This window comes from Homo sapiens, chromosome 19, assembly GCF_000001405.40.
Source record: "Homo sapiens chromosome 19, GRCh38.p14 Primary Assembly".
In the NCBI taxonomy this organism is placed as follows: domain Eukaryota; kingdom Metazoa; phylum Chordata; class Mammalia; order Primates; family Hominidae; genus Homo; species Homo sapiens.
Window position 1 is genome coordinate 17,470,821 of NC_000019.10, and position 18,169 is coordinate 17,488,989.

Genomic DNA, 18,169 nt, shown 5'->3' on the forward strand with positions numbered 1-18,169 from the left:
CTTTGTAGGTTGGGGGCGGGGCTGGGCCGAGGGCTGGGCGGGGGCGGGGCCTGAGAGGGTGACCAGTTGGGGGTCTCTGAGGGGGCTACAGGGGACACTTTAAGGATTTCTCGAGGAAGATGAGTAGCCTCTAAGGTGCTTCGGGCGTTGCAGGCTGCTTAGGAGATGATCTCAGGGGATTTGGGGGGCAATTTGGGGGTCTTTGGGCAACTGGTGGAAATTCCAGGGAGCTGGGGCTGACTGGAAATCCGTGGCGGTGTGGGGGTCTTTTTGGAGCCGTGATAACTGTGAGAGACTTCAGGGGGCTCTCCAGTAGGTCACCGGGGCTCACAGGGACGACCCAATAGATAGTCTCTGGGGGGTTGCCAAGACACTTTGGGTCTATCTAGGGCTTTCTCTGAGGGATGAGCGAGCTGCTCTATAAAGGACTTCCCGGGTTTCTGAAGGTGTGAGTTTCCTCGGGATCGTTTACAGCTGGGGCACTGTTTGAGATTTTGGGGTCTGTGTGGGACTTTGGGTTTGGGAGTTGTTCGGAGTGTGTCGGGAGGCTGCTGTGTATTCCAGGACTTGTTTGGGGGGTCTCTTCTGGAGACTGGGACACTGGATTCATGCTAGGGGGGCAGATTCTGGTGTCCTGTGCAAGGATCCTTGGAGGGTTTTTGCGGTGTCTCTGAGGGACTTGCTCAAACGAGCCGTTGGGGGTCCTTCTGGGATGAAACAGGCATTGCTGGGGGCTTCTATCAGAGCAGACCTCAGGAACAGCACCACGTGGGAGCAGGTGAGCGCCGGCTAGCGGGGCAGGGCTCAACACCTTCACAGCTCCTTGTAAGATGGAGTAGCAAGAGGGACTGAACCCATTGTAAGGAGGGCACAGAGGGTGTGGAGATGGGAAAGATCCCACCGTAAGTTGACTGGTTCTGAACTTTCTAAAACTCACCCCTTCTGCATGCCATGGCCCCCTGCCCCCGGCTCCTTGGTTGTTCTGATGTGGAAATCTGACTGTGCCCTCTGCTCAGACACCTTCCATGGCCAGCCCATCCTTGGCAGAAGGAAGACTCAGCCCCTAGCTGGGCACTCAAGGTCCTACCATCTGTTCCCTGCCCACCTGCCACTCCCCCCATCCATATGTTCACCTGGTCTTCAGAAAGACTTGCAGTGTCAAGCTCAAGCTGCCCAGAACATACTGGACCCCTTTTAGCCAGGGCAGGCTCTCCCTCTGGGAACCTTTGCTGAATTTTCCTGCTCAGCACCCTCCCATAGCTCCTTGTTGCCCTTAGAATTGACGCCATACTGGCCGGGAGCGGTGGCTCACGCCTGTAATCCCAGCACTTTGGGAGGCCGAGGCAGGCAGATCACGAGGTCAGGAGATCAAAACCATCCTGGCTAACACGGTGAAACCCCGTTTCTAATAAAAATACAAAAAAATTAGCCAGGCGTGGTGGTGGACGCCTGTAGTCCCAGCTACTCGGGAGGCTGAGGCAGGAGAATGGTGTGAACCCCGGAGGCGGAGCTTGCAGTGAGCGGAGATCATGCCACTGCAGTCCAGCTTGGGCGACAGAGTGAGACTCCGTCTCAAAAAAAAAAAAAAAAATAGAATTAGAATTGAGGCCATACTCCTGAGCATTGCGCACGAGGTCCCTGACCATGTCCCAGCCTCCGCTTACTTCCCTTTTGTCGCCTAGCTGCACTTACCTTTTGTCTATTGCTCATTTGTTTGTTTGTTTGAGGCAGAGTCTCACTCCGTCGCCCAGGCTGGAGTGCAGTGGTGCGATCTTGGCTCACTGCAACCTCTGCCTCCCAGGTTCAAGTGATTCTCCTGCGTCAGCCTCCCAAGTAGCTGGGACTACAGGCACGTGCCACCATGCCCAGCTAATTTTTGTAATTTTAGTAGAGATGGGGTTTCACCGTATTAACCAGGCTGGTCTCAAACTCCTGACATCACGTAGTCCGCCTGCCTTGGCCTCCTAAAGTGCTGGGATTACAGGCATGAGCCACCATGCCTGGCTCCCTTTTTTTTGAGACAGGGTGTCTTCTCTGTTGCCCAGGGTGGACCAGCCTCCATCTCCTGGGCTCAAGCAATCCTCCCACCTCAGCCTCCTGACTAGCTGGGACTACAAACGCCTGCCTCCGCTCCTGGATAGTTAATAGAATGTTTTTTATAGAGATGAGGTCTCGCTATATTGCCCAGTCTGGTCTGGAACTCCTGGCTTTAAGCGATCCTCCTACCTCAGCCTCCCAAGTGGCTGGGATGACAGGTGCACACCACCACACCTGGCTAATTTTTTTATTTTTTGTAGAGACGTGGTTCTGCCACGTTGCCCAGGCTAGTCTCGAACTCCTGGCCTCCAGCGATCACCCAATTTCAGCCTCCCAAAGTGCTGGGATTACCGCGCCCAGCGTGAACTGCTTTGAACCATATTGTCTACTTGACTTTCAGACAGCCAGATGGTGCAGTTGGAGTTGCAAACTCATGTGAGGTTATGAGTCATCGATCGAGATTTCACCCCTTCCTCCTAACAGCAAGGTCTGAGATACCAAATTTCCTTTTAGCTCCTGGTGTGTGTATGTTAAGGAAAGATCTTATTTTGATTTCCAATTCACCTTTATGTTGAATGGGCATGCTTTGAGGTCTTATCAGACTCAAACCTGCTTGTCTGACACCTAAGCTGTCCCCCTCCTGGGGCTACAATGACATTTTGGCCTCTGGTTGGTCCTTATTTTCTGATCACCTTGTTGCTACATTAATAAAAAATTAACTCGGCTGGGCGCGGTGGCTCACACCTGTAATCCCAGCACTTTGGGAGGCCGAAGCGGGTGGATCACCTGAGGTCAGGAGTTTGAGACCAGCCTGGCCAACGTGGCGAAGCCTTGTCTCTACTGAAAATACAAAAATTAGCCGGGCGTGGTGGTGCACGCCTGTAATCTCAGCTACTTGGGAGTCTGAGGCAAGACAATCACTTGAACCTGGGAGGTGGAGGTTGCAGTGAGCCAAGATCGTGCCATTACACTCCAGACTGGGCAACATGAGCGAAACTCCATCTCAAAAAACAAAACAAAACAAAACAAAGATTTAACTCATTTAACCCAGCATTTTTAGTTGTTTTCTTTCTTTGCTTTGGGATTAGAAGTTTCTTGTTTTTTTGATAAAGTCTCACTCTGTCACCCAGGCTGGAGTGCAGTGGTGTGATCATAGCTCACTGTAGCCTCAACTTCCTGGGCTCAAATGATCCTCCCATCACAGCCTCCCAAGTAGCTGGGACTACAGATGCGTGCCACAACAGCCAGCAGATTTTGTTTATTTTTTATAAAGGAGAGGTCTCACTATGTTGTCCAGGCTGGTCTTGAACTCCTGAGGTCAAGAGATCCTCCTGCCTCAGCCTCCCAAAGTGCTAGGATTATAGGTGTGAACCACCACATCTGGCCTGTTTTCTTGCCTTTTAATCTTGGGCCTCTTTCTAGACTGTGGGCCCTATAGGGGCACAAAAGGAGACTGTGTCAGTCTTGGTGCCACTGTGGCCCTGCGCCCCACTCAGGATTGGCGCACAGCGGTAGCGCAGGACATGTTTGTTAGGTGGAAGGCCATCCCTTCCTTCTTGGGTTCACCCAGGCCCATCTCTCCCTCCTCTCCAGCTCTGCTCCCATGGGCCCTGTGGGTGTCCATGCCTGGTTCTAAGTTCCTGACATGGCTTGACATACTTGCCTGTGGGTGGCAGCTTTGAAGATGGCCCCAGGGATCCCTGTCTCCTGCTCTTCCCACTTGTATGGTCCCCTCCCTTTGAGTGTGGGCTGGACCTAGTGACCCCTTTCTTTTTTTTTTTTTTTTTTTTGAGATGGGAGTTTCGCTTTGTCACCCAGGCTGGAGTGCAATGGCGCGATCTCGGCTCACCGCAACCTCCGCCTCCCAGGTTCAAGTTATTTTCCTGCCTTAGCCTCCTGAGTAGCTGGGATTACCGGCATGCACCACCACGCCCAGCTAATTTTGTATTTTTAGTAGAGACGGGGTTTCTCCATGTTGGCCAGGCTGGTCTTGAACTCCCGACCTCAGGTGATCTGCCCGCCTGGGCCTCCCAAAGTGCTGGGATTACAGGTGTGAGCCACTGCGCCCTGTTTTTTTTTTGAGACGGAGTCTTGCTCTGCCACCCGGGCTGGAGTGCAGTGGTGTGACTCCACTGCACCCTCCAGCTCCCAGGTTCAAGCAATTCTCCTGTCTCAGCCTCCCGAGTAGCTGGGATTACAGGTGCCTGCCACCACACCCGGATAATTTTTGTATTTTTAGTTGAGAGGGGGTTTCACCACATTGGCCAGGCTGGTCTCAAGGTCCTAACCTCAGGTCATCCGCCTGCCTTGGCCTCCCAGAATGCTGGTATTACAGGCTGAACCACTGCGCCCAGCCCTAGTGACTCCCTTCTAATGAGTAAAATACATCAGAATTGATGGAGGCTGGGTGCAGAGGCTCGTGCATATAATTCCAGCACTTTGGGAGCCCAAGATGGGAGGATTGCCTGAGGCCAGGAGTTCAAGACCAGCCTGAGCAACATGATGAGACTCCATCTCTACACGCAAAAAATTAGCTGGGGGAGTGGGGCTCTCCTGTGGTCCCAGCTACTCAGGAGGCTGAGTGGGAGGATTGCTTGAGTCCAGGAGGTCAAGGCTGCAGTGAGCCATGATTGCCCCACTGCACTCCAGCCTGGGTGAGGGAGCAAGACTCTGTCTTGAAAAATGAAGGGGTGCTGACAAATCCCATTTAACACGTGAGAGAACAGAGGCACAGAGAGGGGAGGTTATTTGCCCAGAAACACACAGCCGGGGAGGCACAGGACTCCAGAGCATGTGCTCTTAGCCACTGTGCCGCACTGGAGTGGTTGGGGTGCTAAATTTAGACCTTGGCTTCAGAAAATATTTCAGCACCCTGCCCTGACTCTCCTAACATGCCCTGTACTTCCTGCATGAAATCTGATCGTATTCATCCTTGTTGATTTCTTCCGCCCTGGAGTCCTGGGCCCAGAGCTGGACAGTGGGCTCATTGTCCCCAGGCTGGGGGTGGCTTGAGCAGCTGCCAGGCAGGGCTGCCTAGGCATGTGGCTGGAACCAAGTACAGGAATCCACTGCCTGCTGGTGTGGGCATCCTTGAGAGAGAACGAGTGAGACCAAGAGACCGGGAGGCTGGGGGTGAATCCTCGTGTTCCCACATCTAGCTCTGGTGTTTAGCCTGACGGTGACCAACTGTGGCCTCAGTTCCTGTTTCTTGTTGTTGTGTTGCCTCTGGACGGGCACCCTACTGGCAGGGGCTGTTTCCTGTGGTTACTCCCTCAATAACAGCCCTCTCCCCATGGATGTAACATTTGTACCCCATCATGGAGTTCTTGGGGTGCTCCGTCAAATTCACCCACAGGAAGCCCTTAGAGCAGAATTGGGTGTATACTAGGTGCTCCAGGCTGGGCATGGTGGCTCATGCCTGTAATCCCAGCACTTTGGGAGGCTGAGGCGGGCTGATCACCTGAGGTCAGGAGTTCGAGACTAGCCTGGCCAACGTGGCGAAACCCTGTCTCTACTAAAAATACAAAAAAATTAGCTGGGCGTGGTAGCGGGCACCTGTAATCCCAGCTACTCGGGATGCTGAGGCAGGAGAATCGTTTGAACCCGGGAGGCAGAGGTTGCAGTGAGCTGAGGTGGCACCACTGCACTCCAGCCTGGGTGACAGAGTGAGACTCTGTCTCAAAAAAAAAAAAAAAAAGGAAAAAAAAAGACGCAGGCATTGGGCACCTGCTGTGTGCCTCATGGGCACTTGGCCTGCCACTGGCTACGTCGCCAGCACTTGATAAATGCTTTGTAATAAGTCTGCCAGGGATTAGAGGGACCCTGGGAGGAGGCTTTGTTTCTGGGTTGTTCTGTCCTCAAATTGCTCTGTGACCTTGGGCGTGTCCATTCCCCACTCCGAGCCCCCAGTTCATTCATTATTTGACAAATGGGGATCTGAGGGACCTATTTTGGAGGGTGGATATAAGGTTAGCACAGGGCATGGCAGATAGTAGGTGCTTAATAAACACTGAGAATGATCATCTGTTTTTTTTTTTTTTTTTTTTTTTGAGACATGGTCTCACACTGTCACCCAGGCTGGAGTGCAGTGGTGCAATCTTGGCTCACTGCAACCTTCACCTCCCGGGTTCAAACAATTCTTATGGCTCAGCCTCCCAAGTAGCTGGGACTATAGGTGCCCACCACCACACCTGGCTAATTTTTGTATTTTTAGTAGAGACGGGGTTTTGCCATGTTGGCCAGGCTGGTCTCGAACTCCTGGCCTCAAGTGATCCACCCACCTTGGCCTACCAAAGTGCTGGGATTACAAGTGTGAGCTACTATGTCTAGCTGAGAATGATTATCTTGGCTGCTCTGTTTATTGGTTGAATGGATGAGCAGCGCTTTTTTTTTTTTTTTTTTTTTTTTGAGACTGAATCTTGCTCGATTGCCCAGGCTGGAGTGCAGTGGTGTGATCTCAGCTCACTGCAACCTCCACCTCATGGGTTCATTCTCCTGCCTCAGCCTTCTGAGTAGCTGGGATTACAGGTGTGCACCACCATGCCTGGCTACTTTTTTTGTATTTGTAGTAGAGACAGGGTTTCATCATGTTGACCAGGGTGGTCTCAAACTCCTGACCTCAGGTGATCCACCCACCTTGGCCTCCCAAAGAGCTGGGATTACAGGCATGACCCACCGTGCCTGGCCTTCTTTCTTTCTTTCTTTCTTTTTTTGAGACAGGGTCTCACTCTCATTGCCCAGGCTGGAGTGCAGTGGTGCAATCTTGGCTCACTGCAACCTCCACCTCCTGAGTTCAAGCAAGTCTCTTGCCTCAGCCTCCCGAGTAGCTGGGATTACAGGTGCCCGCCACCATGCCCGGCTAATTTTTTTGTATTTTTAGTAGAGACGGGGTTTCACCATGTTGGGCAGGCTGGTCTTGAACTCCTGCCCTCAGGTGATCCACCCACCTCAGCCTCCCAAAGTGCTGGGATTACAGGTGTGAGCCACCGCACCTGCCGCCCACCTTTTTCTAAAATAAATTTAAAAAATTATTTTAACATAGAGATGAGGTCTCACTATATTGCCCAGGCTGGCCTCGAACTCCTGGCCTCAAATAGTCCCCCTGTCTTGGCCTCCCAGAGTGCTGGAATTACAGGAGTGAGCCCCTACACCTGGCCCTGAAGTGTTGACATTGAACTCAACTAGCAGCACTAAAACCCACGCCTGAAGAAAGCTGCTGTAACACACATATTTTCTCCATGAGGCACATCACACCAGACAAGCGCCTCAGCCCTGTGCTTGGGGGTCATTTTCAACAGCGAAGTCACCAGCAAAAATCACAAAAATGCAGCTGGGCGCGGTGGCTCATGCCTGTAATCCCAGCACTTTGGGAGGCTGAGGCAGGCGGATCACCTGAGGTCAGGAGTTTGAGACCAGCCTGGCCAACATGATGAAACCCCATCTCTACTAAAAATACAAAAATTAGCCAGGTGTGGTGGCAGGCACCTGTGGTCCCAGCTACTCAGGAGGCTGAGGCAGGAAAATCGCTTGAACCTGGGAGGCGGAGTCTGCAGTGAGCCAAGATTGTGCCATTGCACTCCAGCCTGGGCGACAGAGCAAGACTCCGTCTCAAAAAAAAAAAAAAAAAAAAGGCACAAAAATGCAAAAAACATGGCACTAAATAGACTGTGAAAAGGGTGCTTGTTTACAATGTGAGAGCTGAATTAAGGAGGCAGAGTGGGCCAGATGCGGTAGCTCACGCCTGTAATCCCAGCACTTTGGGAGTCTGAGGTGGGAGGATGGCTTGAGCCCAGGAGTTTGAGACCAGCCTGGGCAACATGGCGAAACCCCATCTCTACAAAAATACAAAAATTAGCCAGGTGTGGTGGTGTACGCCTGTAGTCCCAGCTACTCAGGGGGCTGAGGTGGGAGGATTGCTTGAGCCCAGGAGGCAGAGGTTGCAGTGAGCGGAGGTTGCAGTGAGCCGAGATTGTGCCACTGCACTCCACCCTGGGCAACTGAGTGAGACCCTGTCTCAAAAAAAAGAAGGCAGAGTGTTGTCTTGATGACTTCAGATGGGAACATGCATGTTGGCAATTCTGATTTTTCACCTCTCCACATGTGTTTGAGTATGGCGGTGAATGGCAGCTACTCAGGAGGCTGAGGCAGGAGGATCACTTGAGCCCTGGAGTTTGAGGCCGTAGTGAGTTATAATGGTGCCACCGCACTCCAGACTAGGCAACAGAGTGAGACCCTGTCTCTAAACAATAAAAAATTTAAAAAATTATCAGCTGGGAACAGTACTCACGCCTGGAATCCTAGTACTTTGGGAGGCCGAGGCAGGCGGATCACCTGAGGCCAGAAGTTCAAGACCAGCCTGGCCAACAAAATGAGATCCCTTCTCTACAAAAAAATAAAACAAAACAAAACAAACCCACAAAAATCCCTTTACTGGCAATTTTGGAGATGCAGGGAGGCACAAAGGCCTGTCAGTGTCTTTGTACTGGATTTGCTGTCTTTGTCATGAAATCACTGAATTTTCCCACTTGGTTTGAGCCCCGTTAGTCATCAGCCTGCAGCGGGGGGCCCCATTCTTGTGCAGGCTGCCCAGTTTTCTGTTGTAAAGACAATCCATTGTATAGGTCATCCCTCCCCTGCTTAGGGCGTTTGGTGTTTTTCTGATCTTCTGCACTTTGGAAGCTACAATGAATAGCACTGTTATTTCCCATATGCGAATTTAATATGCCAAACTTTTTATTTTTTAAATTTTTGAGACATACTTCATATTCTATTGTTGTTTCTTTCTCCCTCTCTCTCTCAATTTTTTTAAGATGAGTCTTGCTCTGTGGCTCAGCTGGAGTGCAGTGGTGCAATCTAGGCTCGCTGCAACCTCTGCCTCCCACATTCAAGTGATTCTTGTGCCTCACACTTTTGAGTAGCCGGGATTACAGGGACCCACCACCACGCACGGCTAATTTTTGTATCTTTAGTAGAGACGGAGTTTTGCCATGTTGGCCAGGCTGGTCTCAAACTCCTGGCCTCAAGTGATCTGCCCACCTTGGCCTCACAAAGTGCTGGGATTACAGGCGTGAGCCCCTGTGCCCAGCCTGGTCTGCTCTTTGGAAGCTACAGTGAATAGCACTGTCATTTCCCCCATTCGACTTTAAGATGCCAAATTTTTTATCTTTCGATACAAAAAAATTTTTTTTTGAGACGGAGTCTCACTCTGTCACCCAGGCTGGAGTGCAGTGGCATGATCTCAGCTCACTGCAACCTCCACCTCCCAGGTTCCAGTGATTCTCCTGCCACAGCCTCCCAAGTAGCTGGGACTGCAGGAATGTGCCACCATATCCGGCTAATTTTTGTATTTTTAGTAGAGACGGGGTTTCACCATGTTGGCCGGGCTGGTCTCGAACTCCTGACCTCAAGTGATCTGCTCACCTCGGCCTCCCAAAGTGCACAGATTACAGACATGAGCCACTACACCTGGCCTATTTTTTAAAAATTTTTGAGACATATATTTCTATTGTCATTTCTTTCTCTTTTTTTTTTCATGAAGAAGTTTTACTCTGTCACCCAGGCTCAATTGCAGTGGCATTATCATGGCTCACTGCAACCCTGACCTCCTAGGCCCAAGCGATCCTCCTGTCTCATCCTCCTGAGTAGCTGGGACTATACATGCCACAATGGCCAGTTAATTTTTTTCTTTTTTTTTTTTTTTTTGCAGAGATGAGGTCTCAGTTTGTTGCCCAGGCTGGTTTCAAACTCCTGAGCTCAAGTGATCCTCCCACCTTGACCTTTCAAAGTCCTAGCATTATAGGCGTGAGCCACCGTGTCCACCCAATTTTTTTAAAAATTTTAATTTTAGGCTGCAGGTTGCACGTGCTGGTTTGTTGCATTGGTATATTGTATGATGCTGAGGTTTGGGCTTGTAATCATCCCATTGTCCAGGTAGTGAACAGAATAGAATATCCAATAGGTTATTTTCAGCTGCCCCTTATGGAGTTCCCAGTGTCTGTTGTTCCCATCTTTGCGTCCGTGCGTATTCAATGTTTAGCTCCCACTTATAACGAAAACGTGGTATTTGGATTTCTTTTTTTTTTTTTTGAGATGGAGTTTTGCTCTTGTTGCCCAGCCTGGAGTGCAATGACGCGATCTCGGCTCACCGCAACCTCTGCCTCCCGGGTTCAAGCAATTCTCCTGCTTCAGCCTCCCAAGTGGTTGGGATTACAGGCATGCGCCACCACGCCCGGCCAATTTTGTAATTTTAGTTGAGACAGGGTTTCTCCATGTTGGCCAGGCTGGTCTCGAACTCCCAACCTCAGGTGATCCATCCACCTCAGCCTCCCAAAGTACTGGGATTACAGGCGTGAGCCACTGGGCCCGGCGGTGTTTGGATTTCTGTTTTTGCCTTAATTTGCTCAGGGTCATGGCCTCCAGCTGCATCCACGTTGCTCCAAAGCACATGGTTTAGTTCCTTTTTTTTTTTTTTTTTTTTTGAGACAGAGTCTCAATCTGTCACCCAGGCTGGAGTGCAGTGGCGCAATCTCGGCTCACTGCAACCTCTGCCTCCTGGGTCCAAGTGATTCTCCTGCCTCAGCCTCCTGAGTAGCTGGGATTACAGGCTCATGCCACCACACCTGGCCTCCATTTACATTTTTTAAAAATGATTTTAAAAAATTTCTGAGATAGGGTCTCACTCCCATAACCTAGGCTGGAGTGCAGTGACACAATCTCGGTTCACTGCAGCCTTGACTTCCTGGGCTCAAGCGATCCTCCTGCTTCAGCCTTCTGAGTAGTTGGGACTACAGGCTTGCGCCACTACCCTGGCTAATTTCTGTATTTTTAGTAGAGCTGGGGTTTCACCATGTTGCCCAGGCTGGTCTCGAACTGCTGGGCTCAAGCAATCCTCCCACCTCAGCCTTCCTTCCAAAGTGCTGGGATTACAGGCATGAGCCAGCATGCCTGCACGGCTGATTGACATTTTTTGAAGTTCTCTCCTTAAGGAGGGAACTCTCCAGTTGGAGATGTTAATTTATCAGCAGCCCATGAGCCACCCAGAGAGCAGCAGGACAGGTCCCTGCAGGGAGACCTGGTGGGCCAGAACCTGCCCGGGGCCCCTTAGATCGGGCTGGGGCCACGGGTGGCTGCTCTCTCCCTAGGCCTGCAGGATTGGAACCTGATCTGAGAGTCCCAGATGCCTCTCTTCCTTCGAGATTATTTGTAGCAAGCTCTCTGTGCTCCAGGAGAGCTGGGTCTTGGGCGGTCTCCTCCCCTGCTGCCTCTCTGGTACTAGAATGTAACAGATGCATGCCCTGTCTACCCAGTATAGGGAGGGACAGACCAAGGACACGGTGGTAAATGAGTACATTGCACGTGGCGTTTAAAGACTAGAAGTGCCCGCCGGGCGCAGTGGCTAACGCCTGTAATCCCAGCACTTTGCCGGGGTGAGGCAGGCGGATCACCTGAGGTCAGGAGCTTGAGACCAGCCTGGCCAACATGACGAAACTCCGTCTCTACTAAAAATACAAAAATGGCCAGGTGTGGTGGCTCATGCCTGTAATCCCACCACTTTGGGAGGCCGAGGCGGGTGGATCACGAGGTCAAGAAATGGAGACCATTCTGGCTAACATGGTGAAACCCCGTCTCTACTAAAAATACAAAAATTAGCTGGGCGTGGTAGCATGTGCCTGTAGTCCCAGCTACTTGGGAGGCTGAGGCAGGAGAATTGCTGGAACCCAGGAGGCAAATGTTTCAGTGAGCCGAGATAGCACCACTGCACTCTGGCCTGGACGACAGAGCAAGACTCTGTCTCAAAAAAAAAAAAAAAAAAAAAAAAGGGTGGGGAGAGAATGGAGCGGGAGGAGGGTCTGTATCACCACAGGGTCTTGGCTAGTGTGGGCTTTGCACTCAGTAGGTGCTCACCATTTCAAGAATCAGAGTTCATGCTTCTGCAACTGGCTGCTAGGGAGGGCAGATGCCCTAGGTACTGGACCCAGGGGCATGAAATGAACATTGGTCCACCCTCTATTGACTGAGCACATACTCCAGCAGATGCATAGATGCTAGAGATGCACAGATGCTAGAGATGCACAGATGCACAGATCTCCTGCGTGCTCACAATGCCAATGAATGATGGAGGGAATGAATGAATGAGGGAATGAGTGAAGGAGGGAATGAATGAATGAGGGAATGAGTGAAGGAGGGAATGAATGAGGGAACGAGTGAAGGAGGGAATGAATGAATGAGGGAAGGAGGGAATGAATGAATGAGGGAATGAGGGAATGAATGAACAAAGGAGGGAATGAATGAGTGAAATGAGTGAATGAATGAGGGAGAAATAGACCCATGACCTGGTGGCTCTGCACAAGGCTTTGATGGGGAGAGTGAAGGTGACAGGGAGGGCTCCCAGGGTAGAACAGAGAGCTCCCTGACACCAGCCAGTGCCCCACTGACCAAGTGCGGCCCCATTTTGAGGGAGCTGTGATTGGGGAGCAGTAAGCATGGTGCATGGGCCATGTGGTGCCTGGAAGGTTTCCTGAGGGAGGCAATGAGGCTGCTGGGGGGAGCTCTGTGAGTGGGTGTGTGTGTGGGGGCTGTGCTCAGCTCAGTGAGCTTGTGGGTCATGGTGGGTAGGGAAGTATTGTCACTAGGAGTTCAGCAGCCTGCTCATATCCCAAAAGTAGCCAGAGGGGCCTTCTAGGGGCTTCCAGGGTAAGTGGTTTGACCCATGCAGGAAGTCTCATGAAAACCCTGGACCTTTGTTTTTAGAAATTGCGGATGCTCTCCCCCAACAGACCCCGGCACCCTCCTATCTCCATGGCTTTCATTGTGAACCCCTCCTGGGGCCCATGAGCCTCATGGAGCCGGCCCCTGCCCACCTCAGACTTCATTCCCCTTTCATGTCGCTTTCCCCTAATTCCCCCCACACTGACCTCCACGCTGGTCCTCAACTGTGCCCCATTCCCAGGCCTGTTCCCACCCCAGGGCCTTTGCACTGGCTGCATTCCGGATGTACCCACAGCGACTCCCTTTTGCCTCACCAGGTCCTGCTCAGATGCCGCCTGCCTCTCTCAAGGGCCTCCCCTGCCTCTGCCCTTGGTCCGTGTGACTGACCACATCACCCCTTGCAGTCTTGTCACCATCCAGCACGGCCTGGTATTCAGTCATATACATGGAAGGGGTCTCTCTTCCCAGAGGACTGTGAACCCCAGAGGGTGGGGCCTGGTGGTCTGGATGCTCTGTCCCCAGAGCTGAGAACAGTGCCTAAAGCACAACAGACACTGGTATGCACCAGCTGCCTGAATGAATGAAGGAAGGAGGGAATGAATGAATGAAAGAGGGAGTAAATGATAAATGGAGGGAAAGAATAAAGGAGGGAATGAATGATGGAGGGAATAAATGCATGAAAGAGGTAATAAATGAACAAAGGAGGGAATGAAAGAGTGAAGGAGATAATAAATAAGGATGGAATGAGACCAGATGCGGTGGCCCACGCCTGTAATCCCAGCACATTGGGAGGCCAAGGGAGGACCACCTGAGTCCAGTAGTTCGAGACCAGCCTGGCCAACATGGTGAAACCCTGTCTCTACAAAAAATACAAAAATTTTGCTGGCCCTGGTGACGTGCACCTGTAGTCTCAGCTACTAGGGAGGCTGAGGTGGGAGGATTGCTTGAGCCTGGGAGGTCTGCAGTAAGCCATGATCATGGACTCTAGTCTGGGCGACAGAGTGAGACCCTGTCTCAAAAAAAAAGTACTGAATGAGTGAAGGGGGGAAAGAATGAATGACGGAGGGAGGGAAAGAGTGAGTGAAGTAGGGAATGAGTGAATGAAGATGGAATGAATGATGGAATGAATGAAGGAGAGAATGAGGGAGGGAATGAAAGAGGGAAAGAACGAAGAAGAGCATGAATGAATGACCGAGAGGATGAATGAATATAGGTGCTGAAGTCCACTGTGAACATTTTGGGGGGTGTGAGCAGCCATTGCAGGGATCTGGGGAGGCCTGGGAAAGGCAGGGGAGATCCAAAGGATGGATTTGGTGATTTTGATGCAGAAGCTGGAGGGAGGCAGTGGCCGGGCCAGGCTGAAACAGGGGCAGGTGGGTGGAGCCCCTGCCCTGTGTTGGTCAGGGCTGGGCAGGGCCAGGTACTACAACAAACACACCCCACATTCCAGTGGCTTACCCCAGTACAAGGTTATTGGTTCCCAGAGCCAGGGGCGCAGGGTGGTGGGGCAGGGAGCCAGGAAGGGGTGGGGACCACTCATTTCTCCAGCTTCTCAACCAAGAAAATCTGAATTTCCAGCTTCTGTGATCTAAACTTTTCCTTTCCTTTCCATTTCCTTTTTGTTTCCTTTTTTTTTTTTTTTTTTGATGGAGTCTTGCTCTTTGGCCCAGGCTGGAGTGAATTTGCGTGATCTCGGCTCACTGCAACCTCTGCCTGCTGTGTTTAAGCAATTCTCCTGCCTCAGCCTCCGGAGTAGCTGGGATTACAGGCGCCCACCATCACGCCTGGCTAATTTTTGTATTTTTAGTAGAGACGGGGTTTCACCGTGTTAGCCAGGATGGTCTCAATCTGCTGACCTCATGATCCACCCGCCTCGGCCTCCCAAAGTGCTAGGATTACAGGTGTGAGCCACCACGCCTGGCCTAAAGCATTTCTTGTTTGTTTGTTTGTTTGTTTGTTTGTTTGTTTTTAAAGTTCATTCTTGGCTGGGCATGGTGGCTCACACCTGTAATTCCAATACTTTGGGAGGCCAGGGCTGGTGGATTACCTGAGGTCAGGAGTTTGAGACCAGCCTGACCAATATGATGAAACCCCGTCTCTACTAAAAATACAAAAATTAGTCGGGTGTGGTGGTGGGCACCTGTAATCCCAGCTACTGTGGAGGCTGAGGCAGGAGAATTGCTTAAACCCAGGAGGCGGAGGGTGAGCCGAGATTGCACCACTGTACTCTGGCCTGGGCGACAGAGTGAGACTCCGTCTCAAAAAAAAAACAAAAAAACAGTTCATTCTCATTCATCTAACAGCAAGTGGTGGCCCGCCTGCCTCCACACAATCATTCAGGAACCCGGCTCCTTTCACTGGGGGCTCTGCAGTTCCCTGGGGCCTCTGCCCGTTATATCTACTAGCGAGTGGGGAAGGGGAACTTGGAACCCTCCATCTGGGCTTGGCATTGGTCCTTACACCCCCCATCCACTGGCACATCTCCTGGCCCTACCTGGGGCAGGGGCAATCCCTCCCCAGTTGGGGGCACACGTGCTAGATGCTTCAGCCATCTGTCCCTGGTGCCACCCAGTGACCTGGGGGCAGAACAGCTGCCCAGCTCGGGGCTGGACCCTGGGGGTCCTGGTTAGGGTGGTCTGAGCATGAAGAGTCCAGGCTGGAGGTGCTGGGGGATGGTGTCAGGTGCTCCAGACGTCGCAGGGGACAGAAAGGAGGATGGGTTCAGGCCCCAGCTCCCCCAGGGCCACCAAGCCAGCTGGGGTATGGGGGAGGACAGGGTGACTGGTTTATTACGCTTTGAGAATCTACCTTCTTCCTGGCTGGTTGGTAAATGGCCCTTGCCCTTGGTCCACTGAGAGATCCAGCCACCAAAAGTTTCACCATAGACCTCATCAAAGCCCCTGGCTGCCCTGGGGTCCTCCAGCGGGGAGGCTGAGGCTCCCAGAGGCCAGGCGGGGCAGGGCACCAGTGACGCTGTCCCCTCCGTCCTCCCTCCCAGCGGTCTCTCTGTGCTGATCCGCGTGCGCCTGGAGCTGCGGCGGCACCAGCGTGCCGGCCACACCATCCCGCGCATCTTTCAGGCGGTAGTGCAGCGACAGCCCGAGCGCCTGGCGCTGGTGGATGCCGGGACCGGCGAGTGCTGGACCTTTGCGCAGCTGGACGCCTACTCCAATGCGGTAGCCAACCTCTTCCGCCAGCTGGGCTTCGCGCCGGGCGACGTGGTGGCCATCTTCCTGGAGGGCCGGCCGGAGTTCGTGGGGCTGTGGCTGGGCCTGGCCAAGGCGGGCATGGAGGCCGCGCTGCTCAACGTGAACCTGCGGCGCGAGCCCCTGGCCTTCTGCCTGGGCACCTCGGGCGCTAAGGCCCTGATCTTTGGAGGAGAAATGGTGGCGGGTGAGGCCAGGCGTGGGCATCAGGTGGGCGGGGACCCAGGACTGGCCCCTGGGCGGGCGGGGAGATGCTGCGCCCCAGGCCTCGGAAGGCGGCCGCCCTGGACGTGGGCATGAGGTGCACGGTCTGGGTATGCCCCGGGCAGGGAGTTGGTGCATCCCAGGCCTCGGGAGGGGGCCTGTCCGGCGGTGACCATGACCCATGTGTTGGGGACCACAGCGGTGGCCGAAGTGAGCGGGCATCTGGGGAAAAGTTTGATCAAGTTCTGCTCTGGAGACTTGGGGCCCGAGGGCATCTTGCCGGACACCCACCTCCTGGACCCGCTGCTGAAGGAGGCCTCTACTGCCCCCTTGGCACAGATCCCCAGCAAGGGCATGGACGGTGAGTCAAGGGTGGGACCCCTGCTCTATCAACTGGTTTCCTACCCGCCCAGGCCCCGCCCCCAACTTCCAGGCCCCACCCCCCAATGCTCAGGCCCCACCCCTAACACCTGTATCTCCTGCAGATCGTCTTTTCTACATCTACACGTCGGGGACCACCGGGCTGCCCAAGGCTGCCATTGTCGTGCACAGCAGGTGAGGGGCCCACAGGCATAATGCCCTCAGCCGCTGAGAGTGACCCAGGCTATCTTGCCAGCCTGACCTGCCCCTCAGCTCCTGTGGGCATCTCCATGTTACCCTGGGGACAGAGAGGGCAGCTGGTGTTTCCTGAGCACTTGCTCTGTGTCCAGACCAGGGCCAAGCCCTCCACGTGTAAACTCATTGCAACCCTCATAACTGCTTGGGGCTGGACAAAGGCATCACACCCATTTTCACACCCATCTTGGGACCCGGTTGCCCTGTGCCCACTACTCTGGGGCCCCTCTCATCCCCCCACCTGTTCACCACATCCATCCCACCAGCAAAACCCGTCCTCTCCATCTGTCTACTTTTTTCCATGCCCCCCATCTGGACCTGTGCCAGCCCCTCCTCGGGCTCCTCCTGCTCCCCCCACTCTCTCCTCCACCCACGATGGCCCAGCTCCTGTCAGCAGCTACAGGAGGTTTGAAAATCCTAAATCAGACCTCCCCTGTCCCAGACCTCCCTGCATCTACCGTGACCCTCAGAATAAAACCCTCTCTCGGGCTAGGCGTGGTGGCTTACGCCTGTAACCCCAACACTTTGGGAGGCTGAGGCAGGCGGGTCACTTGACGTCAGGAGTTCGAGACCGTCCTGGCCAACGTGGCGAAACCCTGTCTCTACTAAAAATACAAAAATTAGCTGGGCGTGGTGGCACATGACTGTAATCCCAGCTACTCGGGAGGCTGAGGCAGGAGAATCGCTTGAACCCAGAGGCGGAGGTTGCAGTGAGCTGAGATCCCGCCACTGCACTCCAGCCTGGATGATACAGCAAGACTCCCTCTCAAAAAAAGAAACAAATAACAAACAAAAACCCTCTCTCAGTTTGGGTGGCTTCTGCCACTTCCCTGATGTCATTTTCCTCCCCTTCACCCCGTACTCACTCCTCCTCAGCCCCCCAAACTCTTCAAACCCATACACTCCTTCCGGCCTCAGGGCCCTCACATGTGCTGTGCCTGGGCACTCTTCCATAGCTCGCCCCCACAGCTCTTTCTTGCTAGGTCTCGGATCACACTTCACCTCCCTAGACAGGATCCCCCAACCCCCCTGGCTGCATTACCATCAGCCCCTCTATGCCCCTTGACCCTATTATATCCCTCGTGACACCTAACACCACCAACAATTGTTGGTTGCGTGTTTCCTTCCTGCCAGCCTGTGAACTCATGCGAACTGGGCTGGCTTTGCCTGGGTCCACATGCAGCATGCTTCCCCATGCCTGTACCCTGGGGGATTTAGGTCCCAGCCTCTGCCCTCCCGGCTCCCCCTCCCCCTGCAGGTACTACCGCATGGCAGCCTTCGGCCACCACGCCTACCGCATGCAGGCGGCTGACGTGCTCTATGACTGCCTGCCCCTGTACCACTCGGCAGGTACTACGGCCTGGGTAGGGAATGGTGGGTGGGGGCGGGGGACCCCTTAC

General features: G+C 53.2%; 1 protein-coding gene across 8 annotated transcripts in view, besides 4 other annotated features; it reads left to right on the top strand.

The window, feature by feature from the left end:
• Window positions 1-18,169, top strand: part of SLC27A1 (solute carrier family 27 member 1) — a 37,402-nt gene that overhangs the window by 2,054 nt on the left and 17,179 nt on the right. For 6 of the 8 annotated variants that reach the window (XM_011528000.2, XM_011528003.3, XM_011528002.3 and 3 more), the window contains 4 exons: window positions 15,743-16,137; window positions 16,354-16,515; window positions 16,640-16,709; window positions 18,028-18,119. In XM_011528000.2, coding sequence (XP_011526302.1) covers window positions 15,743-16,137; window positions 16,354-16,515; window positions 16,640-16,709; window positions 18,028-18,119 — 719 coding nt within the window. The remainder of the gene's footprint in view (window positions 1-15,742; window positions 16,138-16,353; window positions 16,516-16,639; window positions 16,710-18,027; window positions 18,120-18,169) is intronic. The other 2 variants (XM_047438791.1, XM_047438792.1) reach the window with 1 other exon arrangement.
• Window positions 320-821: an enhancer, noted in NCBI's record as "H3K4me1 hESC enhancer chr19:17581949-17582450 (GRCh37/hg19 assembly coordinates)". NCBI's record gives its function as "activates a minimal SCP1, AML or CMV promoter by ChIP-STARR-seq in primed H9 embryonic stem cells {active_cell/tissue: H9 hESC(primed)}" and the evidence as "EXISTENCE:reporter gene assay evidence [ECO:0000049][PMID:30033119]".
• Window positions 4,860-5,154: an enhancer, noted in NCBI's record as "tiled region #2801; HepG2 Activating DNase matched - State 5:Enh". NCBI's record gives its function as "activates a minimal TATA promoter and a strong SV40 promoter by Sharpr-MPRA in HepG2 cells {active_cell/tissue: HepG2}" and the evidence as "EXISTENCE:reporter gene assay evidence [ECO:0000049][PMID:27701403]".
• Window positions 4,860-5,154: a silencer, noted in NCBI's record as "tiled region #2801; K562 Repressive non-DNase unmatched - State 23:Low". NCBI's record gives its function as "represses a minimal TATA promoter and a strong SV40 promoter by Sharpr-MPRA in K562 cells {active_cell/tissue: K562}" and the evidence as "EXISTENCE:reporter gene assay evidence [ECO:0000049][PMID:27701403]".
• Window positions 12,210-12,711: an enhancer, noted in NCBI's record as "H3K4me1 hESC enhancer chr19:17593839-17594340 (GRCh37/hg19 assembly coordinates)". NCBI's record gives its function as "activates a minimal SCP1, AML or CMV promoter by ChIP-STARR-seq in primed H9 embryonic stem cells {active_cell/tissue: H9 hESC(primed)}" and the evidence as "EXISTENCE:reporter gene assay evidence [ECO:0000049][PMID:30033119]".